Here is a 19,206-nt window from a genome sequence, read left to right as displayed (position 1 = left end):
TCAGAAGGAATGGTACCAGCTCCTTTTTGTACCTCTGGTAGAATTAGGCTGTGAATCCGTTTGGTCCTGGACTTTTTTGGTTGGTAGGCTATTAATTACTGCCTCAATTTCAGAACTTGCTATTGGTCTATTCAGGGATTCAACTTCTTCCTGGTTTAGACTTGGGAGGGTGTATGTGTCCAGGAATTTATCCATTTCTTCTAGATTTTCTGGTTTATTTGCATAGAGGTGTTTATAGTATTCTCTGATGGTAGTTTGTATTTCTGTGGGATCAGTGGTGATCTCCCCTTTATCATTTTTTATTGTGTCTACTTGATTCTTCTCTCTTTTCTTCTTTATTAGTCTGGCTAGTGGTCTATCTATTTGGTTGATCTTTTCAAAAAACAAACCCCTGGATTCATTGATTTTTTGAAGGGTTTTTCATGTCTGTATCTCCTTCAGTTCTGCTCTGATCTTAGTTATTTCTTGTCTTCTGCTAGCTTTTGAATTTGTTTGCTCTTGCTTCTCTAGTTCTTTTAATTGTGATGTTAGGATGTGGATTTTTGATCTTTCTTGCTTTCTCTTGTGGGCATTTAGTGCTATAAATTTCCCTCTAAACACTGCTTTGGCTGTATCCCAGAGATTCTGGTACGTTGTGTCTTTGTTCTCATTGGTTTCAAAGAACTTATTTCTGCCTTCATTTCGTTATTTACCCAGTAGTCATTCAGGAGCAGGTTGTTCAGTTTCCATGTAGCTGTGCATTTTTGAGTGAGTTTCTTAATCCTGACTTCTAATTTGATTGCACTGTGGTCTGAGAGACTCTTATGATTTCTGTTCTTTTGCATTTGGTGAGGAGTGTTTTACTTCCAGTTATGTGGTCAATTTTAGAATCAGTGCAATGTGGTGCTGAGAAGAATGTATATTCTGTTGATTTGGGGTGGAGAGTTCTGTAGATGTCTATCAGGTCTGTTGGTCCAGGGCTGAGTTCAAGTCCTTAATATCCTTGTTAATTTTCTGTCTTGTTGATCTGTCTAATATTGACAGTGGGGTGTTAAAGTCTCCCACTAGTATTGTGTGGGAGTCTAAGTCTCTTTTTAGGTCTCTAAGAACTCGCTTTATGAATCTGGGTGTTCCTGTATTGGGTGCATATATATTTAGGATAGTTAGTTCTTCTTGTTGCATTGATCCCTTTACCATTATGTAATGCCCTTCTTTGTCTCTTTTGATCTTTGTTGGTTTAAAGTCTGTTTTATCAGAGACTAGGATTGCAACCCCTGCTTTTTTATGTTTGTCATTTGCTTGGTAAATATTCCTCCATCCCTTTATTTTGAGCCTACATGTGTCTTTGCCTGTGAGATGGGGTTCCTGAATACAGCACACTGATGGGCCTTGACTCTTTATCCAATTTGCCAGTCTGTGTCTTTTAATTGGTGCATTTAGCCCATTTACATTTAAGGTTAATATTGTCATGTGTGAATTTGATCCCATCATTATGATGCTAGCTGGTTATTTTGCCTGTTAGTTGATGCAGTTTCTTCATAGTGCCGATGGTCTTTACAATTTGGCATGTTTTTACAGTGGCTGGTACCAGTTTTTCCTTTCCATGTTTAGTGCTTCCTTCAGGAGCTCTTATAAGGCAGGCCTGGTGGTGACAAAATCTCTCAGCATTGCTTGTCTGTAAAGGATTTTATTTCTCCTTCACTTGTGAAGCTTAGTTTGGCTCCATATGAAATTCTAGGTTGAAAATTCTTTTCTTTTTTTTTATTATTATACTTTAAGTTTTAGGGTACATGTGCACAATGTGCAGGTTAGTTACATATATATACATGTGCCATGCTGGTGTGCTGCACCCATTAACTCGTCATTTAGCATTAGGTATATCTCCTAATGCTATCCCTCCCCCCTTCCCCACCCCACAATAGTCCCCAGAGTGTGATGTTCCCCTTGCTGTGTCCATGTGTTCTCATTGTTCAATTCCCATCTATGAGTGAGAACATGTGGTGTTTGGTTTTTTGTCCTTGCGATAGTTTACTGAGAATAATGATTTCCAATTTCATCCATGTCCCTACAAAGGACATGAACTCATCATTTTTTATGGCTGCATAGTATTCCATGGTGTATATGTGCCACATTTTCTTAATCCAGTCTATCATTGTTGGACATTTGGGTTGGTTCCAAGTCTTTGCTATTGTGAATAGTGCCGCAAAAGAATGTTGAATATTGTCCCCCACTCTCTTCTGGCTTCTGGGATTTCTGTAGAGAGATCTGCTGTTAGTCTGATGGGCTTCCCTTTGTGGGTAACCCGACCTTTCTCTCTGGCTGCACTTAGCATTTTTCCCTCATTTCAATCTTGGTGAATCTGACAATCACGTGTCTTGGGGTTGCTCTTCTTGAAGAGTATCTTTGTGGTGTTCTCTGTATTTCCTGAATTTGAATGTTGGCCTGTCTTTCTAGGTTGGGAAAGTTCTCCTGGATACTATCCTGAAGAGCATTTTCCAACTTGGTTCCGTTCTCCCCGTCACTTTCAGGTACACCAATCAAACATAGGTTTGGTCTTTTCACATAGTCCCATATTTCTTAGAGGTTTTGTTTGTTCCTTTTCATTCTTTTTTCTCTCATCTTGTCTTCATACTTTATTTCATTAAGTTGATCTTCAATCTCTGATATCCTTTCTTCTGCTTGATCGATTTGGCTATTGATACTTGTGTATGCTTCATGAAGTTCTCGTGCTCTGTTTTCAGCTCCATCAGGTTATTTATGTTCTTCACTAAACTGGTTATTCCAGTTAGCAATTCCTCTAACCTTTTTTCAAGGTTCTTAGCTTCCTTGCATTGGGTTAGAACATGCTCCTTTAGCTCAGAGGAGTTTGTTATTACCCACCTTCTGAAGCCTCTTTCTGTCTATTTGTCAAACTCATTCTCCGTCCAGTTTTGCTCCCTTGCTGGCAGGGAGTTGTGATCCTTTGAAGGAGAAGAGGCGTTCTGGTTTTTGGAATTTTCAGCCTTTTTGTGCTGGTTTTTCCCCTTCTTCTTGGGGAAAAACCTTTTGTCTTTGATGTTGGTAACTTTGAATGGGGTTTCTGAGTGGACATCCTTTTTTTTGATGTTGATGCTATTCCTTTCTGTTTGTTAGTTTTCCTTCAAATAGTTGGACCCCTCTGCTACAGGTCCACTGGAGTTTGCTGGAGATCCACTCCAGATCCTGTTTGCCTGGGTATCACCAGCGGAGGCTGCAGAACAGCAAAGATTGCTGCCTGTTCCTTCCTCTAGAAGCTTCATCCCAGAGGGGTACCCCCCAAACGCCAGCCAGAGCTCTCCTGTATGAGGTGTCTGTTGACCCCTGCTGGGATGTGTCCCAGTCAGGAGGCACGGGGGTCCAGGTCCCACTTGAGGTGGCAGTCTGTCCCTTAATAGAGCTCGAATGCTGTGCTGGGAGATCCGCTGCTGTCTTCAGAGCCAGCAGGCAGGGACAGTTAAGCCTGCTGAAGCTGCTCCCACAGTTACCCCTTCCCCAAGGTGCTCTGTCCCAGGGAGATGGGGGTTTTATCTATAAGCCCCTGACTGGGGCTGCTGCCTTTTTTTTCAAGATGCCCTGTCCAGAAAGGAGGAATCTAGAGGCAGTCTGGCTACAGTGACTTTGCTGAGCTGCAGTGGGGTCCACCCAGCTCAAACTTCCCAGCATCTTTGTTTAAACCGTGAGGGGAAAACCGCCTATTCAAGCCTCAGTAATGGTGGACGCCCCTTCCTCCAGCAAACTGGAGCATCCCAGGTCGACTTTAGACTGCTGTGCTGGCAGTGAGAATTTCAAGTCAGTGGATCTTAGCTTGCTGGGCTCCATGGGAGTGGGATCCGCTGAGCTAGACCACTTGGCTTCCTGGCTTCAGACCCCTTTCCAGGGGAGTGAACAGTGCTCACTGGCATTCCAGGTGCCACTGGAGTGTGAAAAACAAAAACAAAAACAAAAAAACAACTCCTGCAGCTAGCTTGGTGTCTGCCCAAACAGCTGCCCAGTTTTGTGCTTGAAACCCAGGGCCCTGATGGCGTAGGCACCCAAGGGAATCTCCTGGTCTGCGGATTGCAAAGACCATAGGAGAAGCATAGTATCTGGGCTGGAATGTACCATTCCTCAGGGCACAGTCCCTCATGGCTTCCCTTGGCTAGGGGAGAGAGTTCCCCAAACCCTTGCACTTCCCAGGTGAGGTGATGCCCCACCTTGCTTCTTTTTGCCTTCCGTGGGCTGCACCCACTGCCTAACCAGTCCGAATGAGATGAGCCAGGTACCTCAGTTGGAAATGCAGAAATCACCCGCCTTCTGCATTGATCTCACTGGGAGCTGCATACCAGAGCTGTTCGTATTCTTCCATCTTGCCAGCCCAGTCCTAATTTTTGTATTTTTAGTAGAGACGGGGTTTCACCATGTTGACCAGGCTGGTCTTGAACTCCTGACGTAAGGTGATCCGCCCACCTCGGCCTCCCAAAGTGCTGGGGTTACAGGCATGAGCCACCGCGCCTGGCCCATAACACACATTTTTAAGGTTTTTGCTGTTTACTGCTCTCCTTCCTTTCATAAGTTTATATGGAGTTAAAATTCTATGATCAGTGTATGAGTGTGTTCCCCTTACACTTTTCAAACTACATATTTCCATTCTGAGTAATCCTTTTTACAGCTCATCTCAACTAGCACTCAGATCAATATTTGTCCAGTCCTGCCCTTCCTTGTCCTATGTGTACAGGACACAATGCTCCTAGCAAGAAAGTTCACACCCAGTAGGAGGAATAACAGAAGTTTTTTTGTTTGTTTGAATCTAAAAATGCTGAGGGTGATTAATTCATGAAATCTTATTTTTTTTCAAATTATATTAGACTATCCTAAAGAAAAAAAGAACAAAGGCAAAATATTTTTACCTCAACCCATTGTCATATTGATAATCTTCAACTTTCTTTCTTTTTTTTTTTTTTTTTTTTTTTTTTTTGTATTTTTAGTAGAGTTGGGGTTTCACTGTGTTTGCCAGGCTGGTCTCAAACTCATGACCTCAAATGATCCACCCACCTTGGCCTCCCAAAGTGCTGGGATTACAGGTGTGAGCCACCATCCCTGACTGATAAACTTCAACTTTCAATATGCAGATCTACTTGTACATTTGTGATTCTTCAGAAATGGGACATGGCTGCTATTTTACCTCCTTTGAAGAAATCTAAACTTCTTGAGATCAGGAACCATTCTTCTATACCTTTTATAGAATAAGTTAGAGAACCATAAGATGGTAGACCTGGAAGCAGCCTCGTATTTCTCTAGTCTGAGTTTTTCTACAGATGAGGAAAATGAGTCCCAGAAAGGTGGAAGAACTTACCCATGATCAATAGCTATTTAGAGGCCAGCTATTAGAACCTGTGTAACCTGACTCCTCTTTCAATGCTCTTACCAGTGCCTGTCCTCAAAGGTAAATCTATGAAGAAGAGAGAACACTGCCTGTCTTAAGTAGGTTAATAAAAAGCGCTTCTCCGAATCATTCTGAATTCCGTTAGCTGGACTCATACAATGTTTGTAAGACTTGAATGGAATGTCTGCTTCCAAATAGTATGGCTTTCTCATGGGTCACTGGAAGGAATTAGTCATAAATGAACTCTCAGGAAAAGGTAGGATTCATCCACCATAAGGAGTTACTGAATATCAACCAATTAAATTTTGGAGTCTATTCCATCCAAGGACAATCATTTTTGTTTTGTTGTGTTAGTGTTGTAGATCAAATCTTTTATCCTAACCTTCTGTTGGCTGGTATGTGCTCACAACTCACCATCCATCCAAAGCAGATAAATACTTCAGAACATAAGAAAAACATATTTAGTTTAATTTGTTTGCATCCTGTTTTTAAATGACTTTTTTCATGAACTGGAAACATTCAGATTAATGAAATAAAGATTTTAAATGGGGATGTACAATTAAGAAAGAGAAAACTAATTTCCAGCCACCATAAGAGGCAAAGCAGTAGCTGGGATTAAATATAAAACTTGACCAAGACTATGGTTGTCATAGAAAAAGATTAAGAAAGGGAAAAGAAACAAAAAGGAAGAAAGAAAAAGAGACAGAAGGATTGATATAGAATAATTCTCATTATCTAAGAGGAGGAGGTATTAAGTGATATAAGGTTCTCTATATCAATCTCAGAGTGGACAAAAAAGTTGAATTCTCATGACAATTTTTGATAAAAGCCAACCCCCTCCACAAAAACATAAATATAGTAAAGGCATTTATTTGAGATGGTAAGGTGATGAGGTTCAAGTTTACAGGTATTTGGTATTCCAGGCTAATCTGACAATAAAAATTAAAATATTTAGAGGTATAGATAGATATCATGTTTCTCAGACTCTTAACTAAATGCTTAATAAATATAATAAGTTCAGCTAGATTTTTGGTATGACTTGAGAGTTGAAGTTAGACTTCCAGGAAGCTGTTCTATTTTGCTAATTAAAGACAAATGCATATGCTTGGGAAACTAGATAAGTGGGTGGAAGGACATGTGTTATAGCAATAAAGGAGCCTACCAATAATCTGATGAGGAAGGAAGTCATGCTTCTTCTAAATACAGGTGACCCGCTAGGATCTATGCTTAATGAAAACTCCAAAATTTGCTGGGCTAGAATGGCATGAATATTTCAAGTTGAGCCATCACAGCTTGGGAAAAACATTTGTAAGACTTGTGTGGAATGTCTACTTCCAAGTAGCATGGCTTCCTCATGGGCCACTATAATGAATTAGACTTAAATGAACTCTCAGGAAATTGTATGATTCATCTACCATAAAGAGTTATTGGATATCAACCAATTAAATCTTGGAGGCTGTCCCATGCAAGGACAATAATTTTTGTTTTGTTGTAGTTAGTGTTTAGCTCTTTTTCCTGGTTAGTGTAATAAAACCATGCTGTCTGCATATGCACTTGGGCTGTCCACTTACAATTGGGACCTGATACTTCTAAAAGACTGTTCCTGCCTTGCTGATTTTGGCAGTGGAGTTAGAATGCAAATTTTGCAGCTCTCTCTGGGAACCTACATTGAATTATTTTACAGCTTAATTCATGACCAGTGAATGGGAGGGATGCATTCTTCCTATTAGCTAGACTTGTGAAATATTTTTAAAGGATGTTTTGATTGATTGGTTGCCTCATTGTGTTAACTGGGGGGCACCTCTCCAGAAACACTTGGTTCTGAGGCATCTTTTACAATATAAATCACAACGGGTCACTCTGTAGTCAAAAATCTTTCATGCCAGACGTGGTGGCTCATGCCTATAATCCCAGCACTTGGGGAAGTGGAGGTGAGTGGATCACTTGAGTCCAGGAGTTCGAGACCAGCCTGGCAAACATGATAAAGCCCCATCTCTGTTAAAAATACAAAAATTAGCCAGGTATGATGGCGCATGCCTGTAATACAAGCTGCTTGGGAGGCTGAGGCACAATAATCGCTTGAACCCGGGAAGCAGAGGTTGCAGTGAGCCAATATCATACCATTGTACCACACCTGGGCACAGATTGAGACTCTGTCTCAAAAAGAAATATGTGTGTGTGTGTGTGTGTGTGTGAGTGTGTGTGTGTGTATATATATATAGATAGATATATATTTCATATCCTTACCTCACTCTTAAGTGAAATCTAAAGTCTTCAACATGATCCGTTAGGCCTATGTGGTCTGGCTCTGCCTCAGTCTCCAGCCACCCGCCTTTGCTAGATAGGTCGAGGATCCTTAACCTTAAAATCCAAAATCCAAAATTCTTCAAAATTCAAAACATTTTGAATGCTGACATGACATCATAAATAGAAAATTCCACACTTGACCTTATATGATGGGTTGCAGTCAAAACAGTCAAAAGTTTGTTTCATGCACAAAACCATTAAAAATATTGTATAAAATTACCTTCAGTCTATGTGTATAAGGTGTACTTGGAACATAAATGAATTTTGTGTTTAGACTTACTATGGATATGCAGATATTCCAAAATTCAAAAAAAAACCCTAAATTTGAAACACTTCTGGTCCCAAATATTTTGGACAAGGGATAATCAGCCTGTACTAGACTTTCTTATCTGCTTTTCCACCATGAGGCTTTTACCTCAGCTGTTCCTGCTGTCTGAAATGTTCAACATCTGGATAGTTCTTTCTTGTCTTCTATGTCTCAAGTTAAATGTTCCTTCCTAACTTGCTCCAATCCCAAGTTAGTTTCTCTAATTATGCTCTGTTACTGTGCCCTGCACTTTTTCTTTGCAGTGTCTACCTCTGTTTTCAATTATGGCATTTATTTGAGTAATTATAGCTTACCAGTGAAAGACAAGTTCCAGGATTTCAGAAACCTGTTTTTTCTGCTTGATGCCGAATGCTCAGGTGACAGGAATTTAGCATTTCCTGAATGAATAGAGGTTTATAGTGTCAGGGCATTGGCTCCCTTGATTTTGGTCGGACCAGTAGGCATTGTGCTTAAAATATTGTTCTGTTTTGTTTTATGGGGTAGGTTCTTTTTTTTTTTTGTCCTGAGATGGTGTCTCGCTCTGTTGCCCAGGCTGATGTGCAGTGGCACAATCTTGGCTCACTGCAACCTCCGCCTCCTGGTTTCAAGCGATTCTCCTACCTCAGCATCCCGAGTAGCTGGGACTACAGGCACATGCCACCAAGCCCGGCTAATTTTTTGTATTTTTAGTAGAGACAGGGTTTCACCATGTTAGCCAGGATAGTCTTGATCTCCTGACCTCGTGATCCGCCCACCTCAGCCTCCCAAAGTGCTAAGATTACAGGTATGAGCCACTGCGCCTGGCATTAGTTTAAGACAAACTGTATAGCAGACATTCTTTCCTTTCCGGCACTCCCTCTACCATGCCGTCACGAAGAAACATCTTCTTCCATGGACAGTGGGAAGGGGTGCTCACTCTCTGCAGAGAGGACATATGGGAACCCAGGTGCATGATCCAGGGCAGCATCTTCTTAGCTCAGAGGAGGGGTTGAGCTGTCTTGGAGGGCTGGGTAGAGTCAGGACCCAGTCAGCAAAAACCTGCATCATCTGGGTGCCACCCATGCCAGGAACAGTTAGCAGTAGCCACCTGCCCTTTCTCCCTTAGGGCAGCTATGGGCTGACACCTGAATGCTCCCTAGAGCCTCTAGACCTGAGGCCACCCTCAAGAGCAGTGTCTTCTGAGGGGAATAAGTGACCAAAAGGGATAGAAGCCTGGTAATGGCCTGTAATCAGTTTTTACACTAAAGGGAAAAAGTAGTTTAACCTAAGGTCTTCCTACTTCTTCATCCACCAAGGCTGAAAAAGTAAATATTATTTCATTAGGGTTTTAAGTTGACCTGAAGAAAGGAGGACCAAAAATGCTGTATCCTTGTGGGAGATGTTGTGTGCCAAGAAGAGCCAGGGCAGGTGGCGTAGTAAAAGCACAGGGCCAGAGAGTCAGGAGGTCTGGGTTTGAGTCTTTGGTTCAGGCCTCATCACCTTAGTCACTTCCCCTCTCTGGCATCCTCAATTTCCTCATTTTGAAGTGAGGGGCCTGAGTGAGATAACAACTAAGATCCCTGCTGAGTTAATGCAATATTACTTTAAAAAAGAAGAGAGAAAGAAGGGATGGAAGGAGAAAAAAATGGGAGGGAAGAAGGAAGGAAGGTGGGATCAGCAAGTAGAGTAGTAGAATAGAATTAATTTAACTATAAGTGACAGGAAACTCTAAATAACAGGGACAAGCAAGTTTGAGGCTTATTTTTCTTTCACATGAAAGTCTAGAGATTGGCTAAAAGGGAGGGTCAGGGACCCAAGTTTCTTCTATCTTGTTACTCTGTCCAGCATGGCTTCCATTGCCAAGTTTGTATCATGATCCAAGATGGTGGCCAGCCATCTACTTACACTCCATTGATGAGAACTTAGTCTTATGGCCACACCTGTCTGCAAGGGGATCTATCATATGTAGTTTTTGTTCTAATTAGCCATGGGGCTCCTACTGCTGAGGAGTAGGAGGAAGACAGATATTAGGGGATGTGTAACAGGCCCTGCTAGAATGGGCTTCCCAAGAAGCGTCAATTAGGGAGATGTCCAAAAATTTAGAGCAGAATATCAGTACTGTAAATGGAATCAAGATCATTTAGAATCTGCCTGTTTAATAGTTTGGGCAAAATATAGGGCAAATGGAGCAATTAGCTTACTCCACATCTCAGGGAAAGGAAGAGCCTTGGTTTTGTACGGAAGGGAAGTCATGGTCAACAAAGGAAGAGAAAACAGACTCTTAGGGTCTTCTGTAGACTTAGGAGGCAGGACAACATAAAAGATTATGCAAGGAAGGAAAAAAATTAAATAAAAATAAAATGAATGGATAAACAAGATTCCCACTGTCCCTACCTACTATCCAGTTAAATTTTTTTTTAATTAAGAAAAAAGAAGACTATGCAAGGAAACAATGAACTTTGGCCCCTTAACAGAAAGAATCCAGAATCAAAAAACTTTAAACAAGACTGAGGGAAAATTAAAGTAGCCAAAGCAATACTCCAACTAAGCCAGATGCCTAGAATTTTCTTTCTTATTGTAGCCTATACCTGAGATTCCTTGTGTTATCATTTCTGTGTCTGAGGTTGCTGGAGAATCACAAAAGAGGAGAAGGATAAAAGAGGTTAGAAAAACCAAGGCCTTTAGTCTCATGGTTGTAGCCCAAAGAGGGCATCCCTGCCTTCCTTCCCCACCTTCCACAAGCTGTGAAAAAGAGTGGAGGAGCTGGTGCCCAGAAAGCTAGGAGATGACAAGTGAAACTTGCAGCAGGGAAGAGAGGGCCTGACACCTCCACAGGTGCTCATCTGTTACGAAGCTTCGGCTCCCTTACATATACTTCTGCATTAGGAGGGAGACACCCAAACCAACATCCCAGGCAGAGGAAAGAGAGTAAAGCCACTTGAGAGAGGCCCATCTTCACCATTCAACAATCGCTTCTGACCATGGTCGCATCCTCACCCACCTCTCAGTTCTTTATAACTTCAGAGAGGAAATCACAAAGAAAAAAAAAGAAGACAAAGACAGGTAATATGTTAGTTAAGGTATGTGAGCTGCTGTAACAGCATAACACAATAAAAGTTTGTTTCTGTCTCACCCACCAGTCTAATGCATGGGAAGGATGGGGGAATTCAGGGAGCCATAGCTCTGCCATCTTCAACACATGGCTGCCAGCATTGTCATCCCACAAGCAGATGGGGAAAGAGCATGTGAGATTGCAAGTGGGAGGCTTTTATCAGAAGCCTGGAAGTGGCACACATCACTTCTGCTCAGATTCCACTGGTCAGAACTCAGACTCAGGCATGTGACCACATTTAACTCAAGGAAGACTAGAAGATGTCAAATATGTGTTTGCCCAGGAAGAAGAGGGAATGAGTTTGTGATCAGTCAGCAGCCTTAGCCTTAGTGGACATGAGAGGGCAGACAGAAAATTCAGAAATGATCTGTACCTATGGGGTAGTGAGGGTGCATATCTAATTTTGCCTAAATAAAGTATTTCAGACCACAGACTCAATGAGAAAATAGAAGGTTAGACTGGTTAGTCCTCCTTCACAAATCTTTGGTTTGTTTCCCTTAGTCCCTTGCATCATGACCCCAGTGTTCAGCTCAGATCCGATTATCTCTGAGAGTTAGTGCACTGTGATAAACAGCCAGAGTCTTAGGGTTGCTAAGAATGCCAGTAATTATCAGGCACATTTAAAAAATTCGTGAAAACCTCTATATAGTTGCTGCCAATACTTGAATACTGTCTGCTTGAATACTTTCTATCCTGGAGAACTTTTTGTCTTAAAAGACAACCTAAGCCATTAATTTACTAATTAAATATTTTTTAGAATGCATACCCTCCACCAGGCACTGGGAATACAAGGTCACAAAAAACTAGATCCAGTCCTTAAGAATATCACACTTTTGTACAATTTCTCTATTGTTTATGTTTGTTACATTGGGCCACAGTTCTGCTTCTGCTGATGGTACTTGTCATTACTTTCCATTGCAGAGGTTGCCCAGGTATCTGAGTGAATTGCAAGCGCAATACAGTAGTCCTCTCTCAGACCCCAATCAACCTCACCCTAATTACCCCTAGAATCACCCTAATTATCCCTAGAAAAGTCAATCCTGGCTCCCATGTGACATTTGAAAATTGCCTACATGGCATTTTCCAAACCCTCTTATCCTCAGAGGACTTTTTGGAATCAGTCATTTGTCTAGTTGCAAAATTACTTCTGCCTTTCCAGTTTGGGTTTCTAAATTCTGCCTCTAGGTCCATTTCAAAACCTGTAATTGGATCATTCAGGGGCTGAGCCTGCTGCAAAGCATCTCAGTGCCCTTGTCCATATTCATCTTGGAAAAAATCCACCCATCAGAACTCACTTTATATGGCAAAATATGCCCATGCTTTTCATTTCAAAACCACTGCAGGGGCTGCATCTGAAGAATGGCCACCCATCTTTCAGCCACCTCTCACTTTGTGTTGCTAATTCAAAATATAATCTGTGCCTGGAAACCAGGAGGGCTTTCAAAATTGTTTTAGAAGATATTATAAAGATGAGTTGCAAACCCTCAGGATCCTCTTCCCTGACTCCCCACACCCCAGTCTCCCTCACTTTAGCTTAGCCTGCAGATGATCTCCCAATCTTTGCTCTTGGCCCTGCCACTAGGAATTCTTCACTGATCAGTCTACCAAACTCTGCTTTAAATTTGGCATTTGGGGATTGGTAAGCAAAAGTTATTCCTAAATGTCCCTATTTCAACATTTAGGCAAAGCCCATTATGGTTTTTAAGCTCTACTTATTTCTTTCTACTGGGCTTTTCCTGTTCTAAGTGGCCCTGAAAGGTTTTAATGACACAAGGAAACCAGCAGGAGCACCAGCAAGTGACAGATGCCCTTGGGCACCTGGTGTGCAGTATCCCACTTAGCCCCCCCCCCCACCATCCTGCGAGGCTAGCTCTATCATCCCAAGGCTGCACATGAGAAAGTGAAGCAGAAACAGGTCAAGTAACTTTAACTTGTCTGATGTCACCAAGCTGGCAAGTGGAATTCAAATTCACATAGGCCTGATTCCAAAGCCAGAGCTCTTTTCTAACACTCCAACGAACTAACATCCTTATTTGAAGGTTGGAACTAGTAAGGCATATAATCGTGGAGAAGGCAATTAAGTATCTCTGAACCTGGGGTTTCTTCACAAATGAAGGTGGACTAGATGAATGCTAAGGTCCCTTTCCCTAAAATGCTCTCTTTCTATTGATCTAGGGCTAGTGGACTCTGGAGGGAGAGCTCACACCAATCTCAAGCAACAGCAGCAAGTAAATCAACAATAAATATTTATTTAGTGCCCACTCTATATGAGACAAATTATAGCTTTATTTTAATTATTCTAACAAGTCTGTGAGGGCCTGATTATTATCCTCCTTTTTATAGAGGAGGAGACCAAGGCTCAGAGAAGTTCAGAAGCATACCCAAAGTCACACAGTTAATAAGTAAACCCAGGAATGTCTGACTTTTTAAGTCCACGCTCCTGTGTCCACCACTTTATATTTGTAAGGAAGGTGGGGAAAGGATGGAGGGCAGGTATTGTAAGAGATGGTCATTTAAGGCCAGAGAAATACCTTACAGAGTGGTCACCTGGCAGAGTGGTCAGAGGTAAATCAGTTGAGATAAGCAGAGGTGCTTAGAACAGGTAATTAAAGCCCTGTTCTAGTCTCTCTTATTAGACTTTACTCCCAACCATAGGCAAATGTGCTACTTACTTCCACACATGGAGTCCTGCCCTGGAAGGAGCTTTGCCTGGGAGAGCTTGGCGTGGCATCCAGTCTTGCTTATGGAGACCACTTATCCCCTAAGTTAGTAAAACTTTTGTGCACCACCCTCCATTCCCCCACCATCTTGCCTCTCTGGACTTGTCTTGCCTCTCTGGACTTTAGCCTAGGTGACTTACAGAAATGCCAGACTTCTAGCCCAAGCCCTATTATGCCCAGTACTTTTCTGAGGCTGCTTCAAGTCTTGGTGTCTACTAGATAACGCTTGCTGGAGTATGATATCACCAGCTGTAATGGAAAGGAACAATCAGTGGTGAAAAAAAAATGAGACTCTGAAAAATAAACAAGGGTCCATGCCTGGTTATTCCAAGGTCAAGCCAGGTTTGCAAAGCAGATGCCCAGACTGATGGAGCACAAGCATGGGCTTTGGGACCTGGTAGATCTGGGTTTGGATAAGACTTGGCTATCCCCGCTTTCTGGCTTCAACTTAGAGTGTCAGTCAGTAAAATGAGGATGACTGGAACCTTGTAGGGTGGCTGTAAACATGGAAAACATGCACGACACTTTAAGCACTTTGGAGAGACAGAGAGGAAGCAGGTCCTGTTACCACGAGTGTTAAGGAAATAGCATGAGAAAAGCCTTTTCCCTGCTTTGAGTACTCAAGCAAGGATCACCATTTTTCACACTGTTTTGCTTCTCCAGAAACTGGAATGTGACTATTTGGTGAGTAACACCAACAATACCCACTGGACACTAATGTTCAGAAGGTAGCCAATCTCTGGAATTGAAAAGCAGCTCATGGAGGCTGCTGGAACACACCCCTCAGAGCCTTAATGAAGGGGTCTTACAACTTTTTACATAGGGAATTTTCAAAACTCACCTTTTTTCACTTCAAAATAGAGAAGCGGTAACTGCCTGAATGTGATTGTTATATAAGAAAATGAAGGAACATAGGCTAAAACCAGTAAAGGGAAAGGACAAATCAGACATAGTAAAAATATGTCATCTGCAAAGCAGGACGGGCCGAGAAATGTGGGAGGGACGTCCAGGATGGTAAATGGGCCCCTTGTCATGCAGGCAGCCCTATGTCCTGGTTAATGTCTTTGTCCTGGAATTGTTTTCAAGAGCACTGCCTTTAATTCTTAGAGCCGTCCCAGTGTGGATGATAAAGTCTTGGGTCACCTAGACATACAGAATATAGAGGAATATAGGATATCACTCACACATTTATGCGGGAGAGGCAAGCTATATATGCTCTTTGGGCTACAAAGCCCCAAGTTAGCCCAGGCAGATGGACACTCAGGGAAGGAACTTCCATAGCTACGCTGTCTGAGCCAGGGCACTCTTCCTCATATTTCTACTAAACCCCTCTGATTGTCACATAGGCTCATTTGGTGGCTGGTGAAATGGAAGTGGAGACAGAGGAGAAAACAGGAGGGTGCGGGGGCAAGGGAGGAGGGGCGGGATAAGCCCGAGGAGTCATAGCATCATCAGTCAACTATTCCATGCTATGGCATCAAATGGGGAAATGGACTCAATGACTGTGCTCGTCTGCTGTGGCTCAGTTTGTCTTTTTGGAAGGCAAAGGGATTACTTAGAGCATGGCACCATTAGTCAGTGGCCTGGCTTGGCCTAAGTCAGTGTCTCCTTACTTCACCCTTTGTGTTCTGAGATTCCTAGGAAGGATCTTAAAGAGGTCACCAGTTTCTGACCATTCTGAGGCTAGAACATGGGTTTTTGGTATTTGTCCCAGTCCCACCAGAAGTGAATATGTGTATATGTGTGTCCGGTGTGCCTCGTGGGTGTGCCTCACTGATCCAGGATGTGCACAAAGGCCTCACAGCCCCCTTGCCCCACCTTGCTGGGCCCCCTGTGTTCTATTTTAACAGCTCAGGGTAGCCTGATCTGAGGTCCTTCCATCCCATCCCCTCCTTGTTTACTGGAACATTGGGTCACCTCAGTGCAGCTGGAATGCAATCTCTGGGCGATTCAGTAAGGCCAAGGCGGGCCCTGCAAGGCGTCATGTCATTGCGTTGTTTTTCCTCCCCTCCCACTGAGTTTTCTTGGAAGTTCTGAGCCAGGCTCAGTGTGTATCTCCAAAGATGCATTCCAAATTCCCAGCTGCTTGCAACTCAGCAAGTCTCACTGCCTCTCCTTTTAAAACCCAGGCACCCTGAAAGGTTAGAGATAAAAAAAAGCCCACACATAGGCAAAGGGGGAGTGAAGCACTATATGGGGCCTGGAATGGGGGTGTCAAGCCTCTTGTGGTTTGCAACTGCCCATTGTCACATAGCATTCAACCATGATTTCCTCTCTTAAAAGCAAAGAGGAAAACAATCTCTGTGTAAGATGTTTTTGTGGCTTCATTGAAAAGAAAGATGGGCAAACTTGTCCCCAGTCTGTGCATCAGGCCCAGCTGAGGGGCCTGGAGGTGGCTGTGCTGCCCTTTTCCTCCCTGAGCACAGATCTTGCCTTATTCTCCACCATCCTGAACTCTGGTGATCTATCTCTGTCCATCTCCCTATTTCCCGCTAACTTCCCTGCCCCCATGCTTTTTTCCCTTTCATCTTTGTCTCTCCATTATGATTCCTTCCTTCCTTCCTGGACTAGAGGAAATAATGGAGGGCAGGGAGAAATAGCCAAACACATCAACTATTTAAAAATCACATTTATTTTTATCAAGAGTGAAAAAGGCACTGTGCTTTTCTTAGATCTGTTCTTGCTGTTGAGTGATATATTGATAACTTAGGGATGAGCTTTGGGTTCTCAATGTGTGATCATCTTCTGACCTACAGCATGAACAGCCTTGGAACCTGCTAGAAATGCACATTCCCCAGCCCCATCTCAGACCTCTTGGGGATAAGGCACAGAATCAGAATTTTAACATGTCCTCCAGGTGATTCTGTTGTGCATAAAAGTTTGAGAACTCCTGGTGTTAGAGGATTCTCCAAGGGGCTGGGGGTGAAAGGAGGTCTTGAGGTTTCTTTCTGCCCTCTGGATGTGAGGAGGATGGGGTCTGTCCTACACTGGTTAGGCCTGGCTCATGCACCTTGCCTTTCAAACTGGGGCAGGGGTGAGAGTGACAGTAAGGAGAGGAAGGACTGGGAGGGAGTTAATGGTAGCTCTGCTGGTGTTCCTTGTGAGCTGGATTCATGAGCAACCCTCTGGTCAGGGATCTACAGCTTTCTGATCTTCACATTGTGTTCAGCTTCCCTCTGAAAGCATGTGAACACCTGACACATGTTATGTAATGATGTGGATTCCATCACTCTGCTTCTCATCTGACCTTCAGCAACTAAGCTGACTACTGGTTGTAGATGGAAGTTGTGAAATCTATTGTTTATTTCTTTTCTTTTCTTGGACTAAAGCAAATAACTAAAAATAGGCTCTTTATCTTGTCAGTTCTGTTCCTATCTTCTGAAAGACTTTCAAGAAGAGCTCCAAAGATTATGAAGAGTGTTGGGATTATGAATTTAGACTCATGGTGTTTGGTTTGGTAGCTACTGGCCACATGGCTATTAAGCAATTGAAATGTGGACAGTTGGAACTAAGTCAGGCTGTAAGCATACAACACCCATCAGTTTGCAAAGGCTTAGTCCAAAAGAAAGTGTTAAGTTATTTCATGGATAATTTTTATGTTGATTTCATGTTGAAATGATAATGCTTTAGATATACTGGGTTAAATACAATATTTAAATTAATTTCACTCATTTTTTTAATATTTAAAAATGTGGCTACTAGAAAATTTAAAATTACAAATGTGGCCTATATTCATGGCTCACATTATATTTCCATTAGATGGTGCTGGTCTGGTATTCTGGGGTTCTGGGAGAGACTGTGCCAGAAACAAATACAAGCAGTGAGTGTAAATTATAGCATGAGTGTTCAGGTGAGGCAATGTAGCATAAGGCATGGTAGCTAATCTCTTGGCCTTTAGAGAAAAATATACTAGGGTTGAATCTAGATTCTGCCACTTACTTGGAAAAGTAACTTAACTTCTATAAACTTCAGTTTTCTCATCTGTAAAATGGGGTTGTCTGAGTTCCTAAATCAGAGGGCTTTTGTGAGCATTAGTTAAGACAATGAATGTAAAATATTCCTGACTGTTAATAAGTTCTCAATAATACCAACTCCCCTTAAGTAAGAAGAAATTCTGTTACAAGATGGTATTTGGCATTGATTATGGACTCTTTATTTCTGAGGGCCTTTAACATGTACCTGATGCTCCTCTATCTGTAATGGTTTGTGTGTCATCCTGCCCCAAAGTATTGAATACTTAAAATACCTTCTCAATGCTTCTTCAGCTGGAAATCCACAGCTGGCTATGTCTCACTCTCAACATCTCCTACCATGATACTACAGGTCCTTGTGGTGAAGAACTGGATTACATGGTGGACTGTTCCTGAACAGAGACCTATCTGGTATATTATGCTTACAAAACTTGACATTATATATGACATAGACAGTGAATGGGCTCTGCCAATGACAAAAGCCGTGTACTTTCTGAATGAGGAAAGCAGAGTCTATTCATTAGCAAATACTCCAGCTGAGCAAAGTCAGGACTGAGTGGAAAACTGGGAGGAAATTGTGATCCTGGCTTTGCGATTATTGACTAGCCACTAAAGAAGAGTTTTAGCCCTTCTGTCCATATGATAGCACAAAATATCTAAGTTAGATTCTTCCAAAGAGAAAACTGTTCTCTCATGAAGTTTGTATGTAGACGGGAATGAAAGAAAAGGAGGATAAGTGAGATGAAGAGTGGGGAAAATATCAAACAAAAAGGTGATATGCCAGGTTCCATTTTGAAAGACACTGAATGTTGCATCGTAGTAGCAGATCTCCAGATGCAAAGTCTCTGAGTTTGCAGAATGCTTACACTATGATAAAGGCTGTAACAATTTGTTAGCCACTAACAAAAATGGTCCTGAGTTTTCTTCCATGAGTACTGTTTAAAACAATTACAGGAATGAAGAAGCAGAGATCATGCAAGGTGTTTCCATCCAAAAGTAGGCATCTCATGTCATCTGCTCTGGCCAGTATTTAACCTTGAGAAAAGAAGAAGTGTAGAGATGATGTACTTGCCTGAGGGATGGATTAAAAAGTCTTTGGTCTTCTCTGAACGGTACTACTGAATTTATCCTCATCACCGTCATCATTGTCATTGTCATCATCATCATGAAAACAGGTACCTTTGTTTAGTGCTTCTTACATGCCAGAAATTTTGCTAAGTGCTTTTTATGGTTGATCTCAATTAATTTTCTTGACAGCTCTTAACTACTATTAGTAGGCTATTTTTGCAGTTGAGGAAGCTAAGGCATAGAGACATTAAGTAACTTGCTCAAAGTTAACACCCCTGACATTGGGCTTGCTGGAATTTTCATGCTCATTAAACAGAAATGCAAGTTGAGAGGGCTTGTGTATTACACATCACAAAGGGAATCCCCAGATTAGAAGTCTTTAA

General features: G+C 42.1%; 1 long non-coding RNA gene across 1 annotated transcript in view; it reads left to right on the top strand.

Annotated features, from left to right (window-relative positions):
* Window positions 1-18,870, top strand: part of LINC01344 (long intergenic non-protein coding RNA 1344) — a 110,117-nt gene extending 91,247 nt beyond the window's left edge. Inside the window, exon 3 of the long non-coding RNA NR_104175.1 lies at window positions 18,710-18,870. This is a non-coding gene — a long non-coding RNA (long intergenic non-protein coding RNA 1344). The remainder of the gene's footprint in view (window positions 1-18,709) is intronic.
* The last annotated feature ends 336 nt before the right edge of the window (window positions 18,871-19,206 follow it).

Source organism: Homo sapiens, chromosome 1, assembly GCF_000001405.40.
Source record: "Homo sapiens chromosome 1, GRCh38.p14 Primary Assembly".
Classification (NCBI taxonomy): Eukaryota; Metazoa; Chordata; class Mammalia; order Primates; family Hominidae; genus Homo; species Homo sapiens.
This window is presented reverse-complemented; position numbering and strand designations above follow the sequence as displayed.